Genomic DNA, 14,526 nt, shown 5'->3' on the forward strand with positions numbered 1-14,526 from the left:
ATGATATTGGCTGTGGGTTTGTCATAGATAGCTCTTATTATTTTGAAATACGTCCCATCAATACCTAATTTATTAAGAGTTTTTAGCATGAAGGGTTGTTGAATTTTGTCAAAGGCTTTTTCTGCATCTATTGAGATAATCATGTGGTTTTTGTCTTTGGCACTGTTTATATGCTGGAGTACATTTATTCATTTGCATATATTGAACCAGCCTTGCATCCCAGGGATGAAGCCCACTTGATCATGCTGAATAAGCTTTTTGATGTGCTGCTGGATTCGTTTTGCCAGTATTTTATTGAGGATTTTGCATCAATGTTCATCAAGGATATTGGTCTAAAATTCTTTTTTTGTTGTGTCTCTGCCTGGCTTTCATATCAGAATGATGCTGGCCTCGTAAAAAGAGTTAGGGAGTATTCTCTCTTTTTCTATTGATTGGAATAGTTTCAGAAGGAATGGTACCAGTTCCTCCTTGTACCTCTGGTAGAATTCGGCTGTGAATCCATCTGGTCCTGGACTCTTTTTTGTTGGTAAGCTATTGATTATTCCCACAATTTCAGATCCTGTTATTGGTCTATTCAGAGATTCAACTTCTTCCTGGTTTAGTCTTGGGAGGGTGTATGTGTCGAGGAATTTATCCATTTCTTCTAGATTTTCTAGTTTATTTGCGTAGAGTTTTTTGTAGTATTCTCTGATGGTAGTTTGTATTTCTGTGGGATCAGTGGTGATATCCCCTTTGTGATTTTTTATTGCGTCTATTTGATTCTTCTCTCTTTTTTTCTTTATTAGTCTTGCTAGCGGTCTATCAATTTTGTTGAACCTTTCAAAAAACCAGCTCCTGGATTCATTAATTTTTTGAAGGGTTTTTTGTGTCTCTATTTCCTTCAGTTCTGCTCTGATTTTAATTATTTCTTGCCTTCTGCTTGCTTTTGAATGTGTTTGCTCTTGCTTTTCTAGTTCTTTTAATTGTGATGTTAGGGTGTCAATTTTAGATCTTTCCTGCTTTCTCTTGTGGGCATTTAGTGCTATAAATTTCCCTCTACACACTGCTTTGAATGCGTCCCAGAGATTTTGGTATGTTGTGTCTTTGTTCTCATTGGTTTCAAAGAACATCTTTATTTCTGCCTTCATTTCGTTATGTACCCAGTAGTCATTCAGGAGCAGGTTGTTCAGTTTCCATGTAGTTGAGCGGTTTTGAGTAAGATTCTTAATCCTGAGTTCTAGTTTGATTGCACTGTGGTCTGAGAGATAGTTTGTTATAATTTCTTTTCTTTTACATTTGCTGAGGAGAGCTTTACTTCCAAGTATGTGGTCAATTTTCGAATAGGTGTGGTGTGGTGCTGAGAAGAATGTATAATCTGTTGATTTGGGGTGGAGAGTTCTGTAGATGTCTATTAGGTCCACTTGGTGCAGAGCTGAGTTCAATTCCTGGGTATCCTTGTTGACTTTCTGTCTTGTTGATCTCTCTAACATTGACAGTGGGGTGTTAAAGTCTCCCATTATTAATGTGTGGGAGTCTAAGTCTCTTTGTAGGTCGCTCAGGACTTGCTTTATCAATCTTGGTGCTCCTGTATTGGGTACATATATATTTAGGATAAGTCAAATTGTCCCTGTTTGCAGACGACATGATTGTATATCTAGAAAACCCCATTGTCTCAGCCCAAAATCTCCTTAAGCTGATAAGCAACTTCAGCAAAGTCTCAGGATACAAAATCAATGTACAAAAATCACAAGCATTCTTATACAGCAACAACAGACAAACAGAGAGCCAAATCATGAGTGAACTCCCATTCACAATTGCTTCAAAGAGAATAAAATACCTAGGAATCCAACTTACAAGGGATGTGAAGGACCTCTTCAAGGAGAATTACAAACCACTGCTCAAGGAAATAAAAGAGGATACAAACAAATGGAAGAACATTCCATGCTCATGGGTAGGAAGAATCAATATCATGAAAATGGCCACACTGCCCGAGGTAATTTACAGATTCAATGCCATCCCCATCAAGCTACCAGTGACTTTCCTCACAGAACTGGAAAAAACTACTTTAAAGTTCATATGGAACCAAAAAAGAGCCCCCATTGCCAAGTCAATCCTAAGCCAAAAGAACAAAGCTGGAGGCATCACAGTACCTGACTTCAAACTATACTACAAGGCTACAGTAACCAAAACAGCATGGTACTGCTACCAAAACAGAGATATAGATCAATGGAACAGAACAGAGCCCTCAGAAATAATGCTGCATATCTACAACTATCTGATCTTTGACAAACCTGACAAAAACAAGCAACAGGGAAAGATTCCCTGTTTAATCAATGGTGCTGGGAAAACTGGCTAGCCATATGTAGAAAGCTGAAACTGGATCCCATCCTTACACCTTATACAAAAATCAATTCAAGATGGATTAAAGACTTAAAAGTTAGACCTAAAACCATAAAAACCCTAGAAGAAAACCTAGGCATTACCATTCAGGACATAGGCATGGGCAAGGACTTCATGTCTAAAACACCAAAAGCAATGGCAACAAAAGACAAAATTGACAAATGGGATCTAATTAAACTAAAGAGCTTCTTCACAGCAAAAGAAACTACCATCAGAGTGAACAGGCAACCTACAAAATGGGAGAAAAGTTTCACAACCTACTCATCTGACAAAGGGCTGATATCCAGAATCCACAAAGAACTCAAACAAATTTACAAGAAAAAAACAAACAACCCCATCAAAAAGTGGGCAAAGGACATGGACAGACACTTCTCAAAAGAAGACATTTATGCAGCCAAAAAACACATGAAAAAATGCTCATCATCACTGGCCATCAGAGAAATGCAAATCAAAACCACAATGAGATACCATCTCACACCAGTTAGAATGGCAATCATTAAAAAGTCAGGAAACAACAGGTGCTGGAGAGGATGTGGAGAAATAGGAACAATTTTACACTGTTGGTGGGACTGTAAACTAGTTCAACCATTGTGGAAGTCAGTGTGGCGATTCCTCAGGGATCTAGAACTAGAAATACCATTTGACCCAGCCATCCCATTACTGGGTACATACCCAAAGGACTATAAATCATGCTGCTATAAAGACACATGTGCATGTATGTTTATTGTGGCATTATTCACAATAGCAAAGACTTGAAACCAATCCAAATGTCCAACAATGATAGACTGGATTAAGAAAATGTGGCACATATACACCATGGAATACTATGCAGCCATAAAAAATGATGAGTTCATGTCCTTTGTAGTGACATGGATGAAATTGGAAATCATCATTCTCAGTAAACTATCACAAGAACAAAAAACCAAACACAGCATATTCTCACTCATAGGTGGGAATTGAACAATGAGATCACATGGACACAGGAAGGGGAATATCACACTCTGGGGACTGTTGTGGGGTGGGGGTATGGGGGAGGGATAGCATTGGGAGATATACCTAATGCTAGATGACGTTAGTGGGTGCAGTGCACCAGCATGGCACATGTATACATATGTAACTAACCTGCACAATGTGCACATATACCCTAAAACTTAAAGTATAATAAAAAAAATTAAAAATAAAAATATTTAAAAAAGAATGTTACAGAATGTTTAGTGACTAGAAATACAATGATAATGTCCAATAAATAAATATATTTTACAAAAAATAAAATAAAATAAAATAAAATACATTTTTAAACTCAGTAACTAAAACTGAGCAGTACTGATTTGGAGTAATGGAATTTAGGTATATGGGATCTCAAAAGCATAGAGCTCAAAGGAGACCCCTGTATGCATGAGAGCTTAGGATGTGCTTTAGAAGGCATTACCAAACCACGGGCAAAGTTACTTTGGTTTCTTAGTCTTACTAGGTTTGAAAAGCCAGAGAAAAGACTCAAGGCCACCATATAAGAGCAAAACAAAAGGACAGGGAGAGAATGTGAAGATACTGAAACATTTTACATAAAGTTGTATAAAACATTCTTTAAAGAAAATGTAAAGTTTAGGATATACATCAAAATCAGCAGAACCACTAAATAAATAAATAGGAATTGTAAAAAAGCAAGAGAAAATTTAAATGGATTTCTAAAAAATATTGACACCTATGATTTTTAAAATATGTTTAAGATATCCCATATTTCACAGGGCAGCCTTTCACAACATATATTAGGACATAAAGGTCCTTCTGTTTTTAATTTACTAGTGTTTATAGGGTTACAAATGTCTTCTACCCTTGTCTTTTGTCTGATGGTGCAAAAAATTTTCATAAGCATGTACTTTTGAATGCCTGATGGATTGACATATATAATATGCTGCTAGTATTAAAATATATGATGGAAAACGCATCCAATCTTCTCACTGTTTACATAAATTCTAGGTTTCTCCTATTTACCTCAAGCACATATGGAGCGAATTCTTACCTTTTAATATTGCCATGGCATTCACATTGAACGTAAGTTGAACTCTCTTATATGGTAGCTGGGTTCAGATTCCCTTGACAATTTCCAGTTCTAACCCTCACAGTTCCTCAGTGTGGCTGGCCCAGATATTGATCCTACACAGCTGCCTCCTCCTGGTGACTAGCCACTGTGGAACCATTGGATACAACCTACCTGACTCACCCCACAGACCTCACAGCCCACATGGACAGCCCCCACACGCCAGAGTGACCTGCTCAGTTGCAGCTGCAGCCAAGAAATGTGCCTGCTGGCACTCACCCCACTGACCAGAGCCCCGTGGAAAACTTATTTGGGTAATGTTCTGGGCCCAATAAAGGCTGGAGTCCCACAGACCCCTTTTCTGTCTCTTGCTCCCCACTCATCTTCCCCATTTTGTTCAGCCCTATGAGTTGTGCTACTGTATTAGTCCATTTTCACACTGCTGGTCAAGACATGCCCAAGACTGGGTAATTTCCAGAACAAAGAGGTTTAATAGACGCACAGTTCTACATGGCTGGGTAGGCCTCACAATCATGGTGGAAGGTGAAAGGCACGTCTCACGTGGCAGCAGACAAGACAAGAGAGCTTGTGCAGGGAAACTCCCCTTTATAAAACCATCAGATCTTGTGAGACTTATTCACTATCAAAAGAACAGCATGGGAAAGACCTGCCCCCATGATTCAATTTCCTCCCACCTGTTCCCTCCCACAACATGTGGGAATTCAAGATGAGATTTGGCTGGGGACACAGCTAAACCCTCTTCTCAGCTACCCTCTTCTCTCTGGATCTGTAATAAAACTACTTCTGTGATTTCCCATGTTTTGTCCTGTGGCCTCCATGTGTCTGATCTGACCTACACTGGAACCTAACTCTCCTCCTGGCCAGGGTCTCTAAGAGTGGCTCTTGTCAGAAATACACAGGACACAGGTCAGGCAACAGCCACCAGGCATCTCCTAGTCTCAACAGATGTTCTGTGAGAGGGAGGCCTGGTCGTGGGATGCACACCTGGCCACTGCTGGGGTAAGGAAGTGCCCTGTGAAAGGCACATGTTAAGCATCCACAACCCCCTGCTCAGAACCCAAGAAAGGCAGGGCTCCAATTGACAGTTACTCTCCAGAGACAAACCTCAAGCCCTAACTGGAGGAAAATAAAACAATGTAAAAATTTGAATTTATCTTACTATTTCAATGATCCAGTAAAGACATTCTATGCCTGTACACCACATATTTTCTTCGATTGTGGATATATTTTAGGTAGAATTTTATGTCTGGCTTTCACTTTAGCCTGGTCCCTACCTCAAGCATAAGGTAAAGATTTTCCATAGTTTCTTTTCTGGTACTACTGCCTGCCAGTGTGGGGTCATGTCCTAGTCTATCTTGAGGGAACCCCCTTATTCATTATTGTCAGAGTGAGACTGTTAAGTCTTGATTTCCCTGGACAACTTCATTGCATGATTTTAATATGATTTTTAAATATACCCTTTACTGGACAATAAATTATATAGTTATCTGAGTAAGAGATATGATCAGGAAGAGGCATTGCCTCATTCAGCTTTTCTGTTTGGTGAACTCACATATGTTCTCCTCACCCACCAGTCACCTCTAAACCGTATTGTTCCAAGACAACAAACAGAACTCGAGTGTGTATCTTTCACCACTGGATTTGTCTTTGCTCCATAAAGCTTAATGCTTAATAGGGTTTCTGTTAGCATTTTCTCTATATTTATTTTCCCATAAAATATCACAGGCCTTCTTCATATGGAATTATGGGTGATTTCCTTCAATCTGCATCATATCAAGTTGAGGTTCATGTTGATTGAAAGTAAAACATACGTTTAAAATATCAGTAATGATGTTTTCCCCTCCTTTTTAGCACATGTGCTTGTGAGAGTCATCGTAATACAATTCTAGTCTCATGCTTTGATCATTCCTAAGATGAAAATAATATTTTTAGATAAAATATCTGAGTTTTATGAGGCCTTTAGTATACGATGTAATAGAATATCAGAAGACCATACTTTTTTCTAGTTTTCCATGTAATTCTTTCATTGTTTCACCTTTACTCCTACGACAGTAATTTTCCAAAACAGGTATCTTGTCATTCCTCCTGTTGTTATCAGTAAATAAGTGAAATGAAAAGCTAGATTATGTAATTTATCTAGAACAAGAAAGTAGAATTGAATCTATATTCATTAATGAGACTAACCAGTCAATTATACAGATAGGCATTTTACATTTTGAAGATCATATGGACCCATTGTCAGATATATTATTATTTATGTCTATATGGACATCACCTGTGCCTATTTATGTAGAACTCAATGACAGCTGATTTTTATTTTTATTATATATATTTTTTTGAGATAGGGTCTTGCTTTGTTGCCCAGGCTGGAGTGCAGTGGTGCAATCACTGCTCACTGCAGCCTCAAACTCCCAAGCTCAAGCAATCCTTCCACCTTGGCCTCCCAAATAGCTAGGACAAGAGGTGCACATCACCATGCCCACCTTTTTTTTTTTTTTTTTTAACTTTTGATAGAGGCTGGGTCTTGCTATGTTGCCCAGGTTGCTCTTGAACTCCTGGACTCAAAGAATCCTCTCATTTCAGCCTCTTCAACGGCTGGTATTACAAGCATGAGCCACCATATGGGCTGGAAGCTGATTTTTAAAATACTGACATCATATAGATAACAGCACCTGAAAAATAGACAACACCAAGCTTTATGTTAAAAAGTGTGAGGGTATCAATATTGTTGTGGCTATTGGGGAGGAAAACATTAGTAAAACCAGTGAGTTAAAGCTGTTGCTTTAAACTTTGGCTTTAGTTTAACAAATGTTCTCTGGGGTGACAGTATGTACGTAACCATGCTATGCCCATTCACAGATGCAGTAGACGGAAGAATTTCTCAAAGACAACTGTTCTAAGATTGTAATTAAACCGCACTGGGTATGAAAAGAGAAAGTCCAGGAATTAGCAAATATTTTAGATATCAGATAAAAGAGAATGCCAGGTATGCAATGATAATCAGCAATGGTTGTTCACAGAATACATCAAATCAGTATTTGAATTAGCTTTTGAATTATAAGGACAAATGGATCAAGTCTTGACTCTTTAGTAGATAAATCTTATTAGGCTGAGATGTGTTTTCCCCTGTTTCTCCACAAGGAGATTACAAATTTACAAACCTCAGCTGCTCTCATTTTATGCTGTCACCAAGCCAAAAGCTGAAGTTCATAAATCAGTGTGTCTAAGTGTTCACTAGTTATATACCTTTTTGTAGTTTAAGCTATCTTTCCAACTTCCTAAATCATCACCTTCATTTGACCTTGTTTTTTCTACTATCACTTCTTTATTGACTACATAAAGAATATAAGTTCTTATTTTGTTATTGTTCATTTTAGTCTAATTTCATCAAAATATCATAATCCTTTAATTTCCTTTTAATTTCAAAGATTAAATGAAACCTACATAGAAATGAGTGTAAGATTTGCATTTGCGTTATTTTGGTATTAATTTGCTATCCTCCCTCATACACATAGTGATCATTTCCATGTACGTGATTTCAAACATCCAAGTGCAGTATTAAAAGCAGTTGTAAATTATGGTTCTGATTTTCATGATACAATTACTATATAAACTTCCTCTTGCTGCTGTAACCAATTACCACAAACTTCATATCTTACAATAAAGTGACTGGTAATCCTACAGTACTGGAGCTCAGAAGCCTTAAATGAGACTCACAGGGCTAACATCAAGTTTTGGGCAGGGCTGCAGTCTTTCTGAGGGCTCTGTGGCAGAATCTATGTACTTGATTTTTTTCAGCATCCAGAGGCCACCTTTATTCCTTGGAACATGACCTCATTCTTATATCTTTTTTTTTTTTTGAGATGGAGTCTCCTTCTGTCGCCCAGGCTGGAGTGCATTGGCATGATCTCAGCTCACTGCAACCTCTGCCTCCCGGGTTCAAGCGATTCTCCTGCTTCAGCTTCCTGAGTAGCTTGGACTACAGGCATGTGCCACCATGCCCAGTTAATTTTTTGTATTTTTAGTAGGGATGGGGTTTCACCATGTTAGCCAGGATGGTCTCGATCTCCTGACCTCATGATCCACCCACCCCGGCCTCCCAAAGTGCTGGGATTAGGCGTGAGCCACCGCACTGGGTCCTCATTCTTGTATCTTAAAAGTCAGTGATATTGAGTAATTTCTCATGCCACCACCTCCATGGTTGCCTTTCTTCTGCCTTCTTCTTTCACTTATAAGGAAGCTTGTGATTTCATTGATCCCACCCAATTAAGATAATCTCTCCATCATTTTATTGCAACCTTAATTTCACTTGAAATCTAATTTCCCACTGCCATGCAACCTAACATATTTGTATGTTAGACTCTGGGAATTAGGACATGAACATTTTTGGGAGGCCATTCTTTTGTCTACACCAGACATAATCTATTTACCTGCAGATTAAAGTGTTCTTTATTTTTCTGCCTCCCTCTCTTAATTTTTTAAAATAATATGAATTGTAGTAAAGAGAAAGAAAGAAAAGAAAAGAAAGAAAAAAGAAGCAAGGAAAGAAGGAAGGAAGGAAAGAAAGAAAGAAGAAAGAAAAGAAGGAGGAAATGAGAAAAGGAAGGGAGGGAGGAAGGGACAAAGGCAGGAAGGGAGAAAAAAGAAAGCAAGACATGGCTTTCCAAAACCTTGTGCATTCCAAAGGTCTTCAGGACTGGCCCTCGACAAGCTCCTGGGAGATGATAACCTATGAGCCCTTGGTATATACTGCCTGATGAGAGTCTTTGTATACCTGAAAACGTAGGTCCTACCAAATAGCTGATGCTAACAACGTGATTTCTTGTGAGCACCTGTTTCTGTATGCCTATGACTTTGTGTAATGCCATACTAATATGACCTCTCTTAGGGCATAGGGAGGTTGGGAACTAAGTAGCTAAGTTCAGTCACAGGACGCTCGATGCATATGTGGTGGAATCCTAATGAAAACCCTGGACTCAAGACTGACTGAGCTTCCCTAGTTGGCAACAAGTTCACACATGTTGTCTCACACCATTGTAAAGAAAATTAGTCAGTGTGAAGTCCCCACTATGAAAGGACACCTGTAAGCTCACATCTGGTTTGTCCTGGACTCAACTTTATGTGCTTTTATGCTTCTGATTATTTTAATCTGGTTTCTTTCACTGTTAGAAACTATAACCACAAAAAAAAATCAGCTTTCTTGAGTTATGTGAATCATTAAACCAAAGGGGGACTTGGGGACACCCAGTAAAAAGTATATACATTCTTAAAAAGAAACAGAAAACTGGCCATAGCAGATATTGTTGATGACTTGTCTTCTATCTCCTGGACTCAATGTGTTCACCTGAAATTCACCTGTTTCCAGCTAACTGAGAGCTCCCCACATCATGCCTGTCTTTCTGATTTTTGGGCCTGCCTGCAAGCTTCTTGAGGCTAACCAGTGCTTCTCAACCACACATAGGAACAAAGAAGGAGTTAGGGGTGGAGAGTTAATGATTCTAAGGCAATCCTTAAGCAATAAGAGATGGGGATTCCAGCATCCCCATCTCTTTGTAAAGTTATTTTGAGACAATCTCCATACCTCCATCATTACTGAGCACAATAGCAGTAACTACTCATTCACACTGGCTTCGTATTCTGTTTCATTTTCTCCACTTCTGTGCTTTCTCACTCAATTTCTGATTAAAGTATCTGACCCCAGATATTTGTTTCATCATCTATTTTTGAGGGAATCCAGAGCCAAGACAATAACAATGGGAGCTTTGCAATGAGGGAGGCTGAGTATAATCATCAGAAGAGTACCTACCTCACTGGGAACATGAAGACCTGGAGAGCTTGCTGTTTCAATGAGAGAAACATGTTGAATCTCAGTTGAATACCTATATATATATGGGCAATAAGTCGTGCTCTTTACTTATATCAAAGGAAAATGCTCTTTACCTCTCTTTGTTGTTGTGTTTTTATCACTATTGCCTACACAAGCAGAATATCATACCCAGGATTTAAAGCCCTGTCTGCAGGATTTTCAAGCTCATGTTTTTATCATAAGTCACTGTGCTTCCATGTGTTTTAAATCTAATCCTCATTCCTCTGCTTTTACACCAGAGAATTCATCACTGACTTATTTTTGACTGACCTTATAGAGCTGTCAAGTACACAATTTCTGCTGTGACCTTTCTCTTAGAGTTCAGTCATATAGCCTCTCCCTAGATATCATCTCCTCTTATCTTTCGTAATAATGAATTGTCAGTTAAAACTCAACATTTTTAAGATTGAGCTTACCATCTACACACACACACACACACACACCATTATTGGTGTATTCTCATAGCCTTGAAACACTAATGTCATGTTGATGTCTGCCTTTTCTTTCTCTGCTACCTCATCCCTCATCCTTAGATTATTCTAAAAGATTCAATTAGATCAAGTTGGCTAATTATATTTTTAAGATCCTCTCTACCCTTACCAATTTTTTGTTTAACAAATTTTAAAAATTTCTGGCAGGAGACTGTGGAAATCCCCATGGATGACTGTGGTTTTACTATTTTACCTTTCAGTTTTAATAGGTTTTATAGTATGTATTTTGAAGTAATGCTATTGTGTGCATACATATTTATTATTTACATGTCTTCTTGGAGTATTTTCCCCTTTGTCATTATGAAATGTTATTCTTCATCCCCAGTGATATTTCCTGTTCTGATGTCTACTTTGCTCATCACAGTTTTAGTGGGTTTTGGTTTGTTTGTTTTTCTTTTTTTTTTTTTTTGGTTCAAATAAGTTTCTTATAAAGAGCATATAGTTGAGTCAGTGTTTTTAATCCTGTCTTATGATCTCTGCCTTTTAATAAGAATATTTTGTCAATTTATATTTAATGTAATTATCAATATGATTGGGTGTGTAACTACTCTCTTGCTATATGTTTTCTAAATATCTCATCATTTCTGTTCATTTTCCCCCTTTTTCTGCCTTCTTTTGAATTGAGAATTTAGTTTTTAAGATCCGCTTTTATCTCCACTATTAACTTTTAACCATTCCATTTTGTTTTAATTTTAATGATTGATATAGGGCTCATAAAATAGACAGTTCTTGTTTTCCTTAGTTTTGATATGCAAAGGCTTTAGTTATCATGCTTTAGTTACATAGCACAAGCCCCAAAACAAAACAGTTTAGGTACAGGAGTGTATTAATTGGGACTAACGGATTGAAGTACAATTTTTTTCTGTTAACTCTTCAGTCCATAAAACTATTAGGTAAATATCAGATTTGCATCAAGATCCATGATCAGTCATGTCACTTTTCTCAATATCTATCAATAATCAATTACTATATATCTGTTTTGTATTCATACAGAGACAGGAAAGCATCCAGTAGTGTTGCTTCTTTGTCTTTCAGTGATAAAGGCATGACATTATACAAAAATTGATAAACGACAGAAAATCAGCCAACAAAAATGAAAGTGTGGCAAATAAATGAAAGTGTCAACACCGAAAGTGAAATTCAGATTGGATCTTGATGGATTTATAGAAGAAATAGTTAATTGCGAGAATGCTGACACAACTACCATCCAAGAGATTTCATATGTGCAGTCAGGGGAACTTACGGAAGACATATTTACAACTTAAATGAAGAAGCTGATTGCAGGGAAAAGACAAAAGTTTTCCCAGAAGATGTGATGCTGAGAAAAAAAATTACATTGAAGAAATTCTCCAAGATGTTTAAAGACAATGAACGCACAAACAATAAAATGTTGGACAAATAATCGAATTTATAAAGAAGTATGGCAATTCACCAAAGCATAAAAAATATTGAGAGTCACATGATGAGAAGTTGTGCAAATACTGTACAAACTACTCTGAATACATTTCAAAGAAATATATAAAACATGTATTTTAATTATCAGTGTTTTAAATTATAGTGTACTATATAAATACTAGTTTTAGGGTTTTTTTTTGGTTTTTACTTTTCTATGCATATATAACCAACAGTAAGACATTTTTAATATTTTGACAAATGTGTTTATTTATTTATTCTTTTATTTAGAGACAAGATCTCACTGTTGTCCAGGCTGGAGTGCAGTGGTATCAAAAAGGCTCACTGTAGCCTCGACCACCAGGCTGAGGTGATCCTCCCACCTCAGCTTCCTGGATAGCTGGGACTATATGTACGTATCACCACTCCTGGCTAATTTTTTGTAGTTTTTGTAGAGACAGGGTTCCGTCATGTTGCCCAAACTTGTCTCAAACTCCTGGGCTCAAGTGATCTGCCCACCTTGGCCTCCCAAAGTGCTGGAATTACCGGTGTGAGCCACTGCAACTGACTGACAAGGGTTTTTAATGATTGCAGGAAAAAGTTTATGTTTTTCCATTAATTATTAAGATAACTTTGCCCAGTTTCAACTTGCACAGTGGTTACTAAGGCCCCACACTGATGTGCATAAAGAGTACCATCTGTACATTTTTTTAACTTAAAACACTCAACCTTCAAATAATATTTATAATACCTGCTATATAGTTTTAAAATATTGCAATTCTGAAGCCAGCATTACCATGATACTAAAACCCAGCAACCTATAATCCTGAAATGTAAGACCTCAAACTATAAGAATCCTAGAAGTAATGCTAGGAAACACCATTCTGAAAATCAGCCTTGGGAAAGAATTTATGACTAAGTCCTCGAAAGCAATTTCAACAAAACAAAAATCGACACGCGGGACCTAATTAAACTAAAGAGCTTCTGCACAGTAAAAGAAACTATCAACAGCATAAGCAAACACCCCACAGCATGGGCAAAAATATTCACAAACAATGTGTTCAATAAAAGTCTCATATCTGGAATCTATAAGGAACTTAAACAATTAAACAAGCAAAAAACAAATAACTTAATTTTAAAAATGAGCAAAACCATGAACAGATACTTCTCAAAAGAAGGCATACAAGTGGCTAATAAACATGAAAAAATGCTCGTAATCACTAATCTCAGAGAAATGTAAATCAAAACCAAGATGAGATATCATCTCACACTAGCCAGAATGGCTATTAATAAAAACTCCAAAAACGTTTAATGATATTTTTTATTGAAAAGTTCCTGCCAAGGCTATAGAAGAAGGGGAATGTTTATACACTGTTGGTGGGAAGGTAAATTAGTTCAGCCAATGGGGAAAGTAGTTTGGAGATTTCTCAAAGAGCTTAAAACAGAACGACCATTTGACTTAATAATCCCATTTCTGGTTATATATCCATAAGAAAATAAACTATTCTACCAAAAAGACACATGCACTTGTATGTTCATTGTAGCACTGTTCCCAATAGCAAAGATATGGAATCAACCTAAGTGCCCATCGGCAGTGGATTGGATAAAGAGAATATGGTACATATACACTATGGAATACTACACAGCCATAATAAAGAACAAAACCATCTATTTGCAGCAACATGGATGCAACTTGCGGCCATTATCTTAAGTGAATTAATGCAGAAACAGAAAATCAAATATCACATGTTCTCACGTGTAAATGGGAGTTAAACACGGGGTACTCATGGACATAAAAACGGCAACAATAGAAACTGGACACTGCTAGAGGGAAAGGAAGGGAGGGAGGGAGGCCGGGGTTGAAAAACTGTCTGTTAGGTACTATGCTCAGTACCCGGGAGATGGGCTCAACCGTACCACCAACCTCAGCATCACGCAATATATCCATGTAACAAACCTGTACATGTATTCCATAAATTTAAAATAAATGTTCAAATAAAAAAACAAATATTATAACTGTCTATCCATTTTCTCTCTACAGTTCTTTGCCCTACTGTCATAGGGTTTTCCTCCTTTCTTTATATATATTTTGAATGCCACAGAAATAATTGTTATTTTGGTTTTAAATAATCCATTACCTTTAACATTACTTAAAACATGAAAAAACGTCTTTTGTATGTATTGTTTCTTTTTCCTTTTTTTTTTTTTTTGAGACGGAGTCTTGCTCTGTTGCCCAGGCTGAAGTGCAGTGGTGTGATCATGGCTCACTGCAACCTCCACTTCCTGGGTTCAAGCGATTCTCCTGCCTCAGCCTCCCGAGTAGCCACCACACCCAGCTA

The 14,526-nt window shown here is 37.5% G+C and overlaps 1 annotated feature.

Annotated features, from left to right (window-relative positions):
• Nucleotides 9,660-10,161: an enhancer, noted in NCBI's record as "OCT4 hESC enhancer chr13:19101768-19102269 (GRCh37/hg19 assembly coordinates)". NCBI's record gives its function as "activates a minimal SCP1, AML or CMV promoter by ChIP-STARR-seq in primed H9 embryonic stem cells {active_cell/tissue: H9 hESC(primed)}" and the evidence as "EXISTENCE:reporter gene assay evidence [ECO:0000049][PMID:30033119]".

This window comes from Homo sapiens, chromosome 13, assembly GCF_000001405.40.
Source record: "Homo sapiens chromosome 13, GRCh38.p14 Primary Assembly".
NCBI classification, from domain to species: Eukaryota; Metazoa; Chordata; class Mammalia; order Primates; family Hominidae; genus Homo; species Homo sapiens.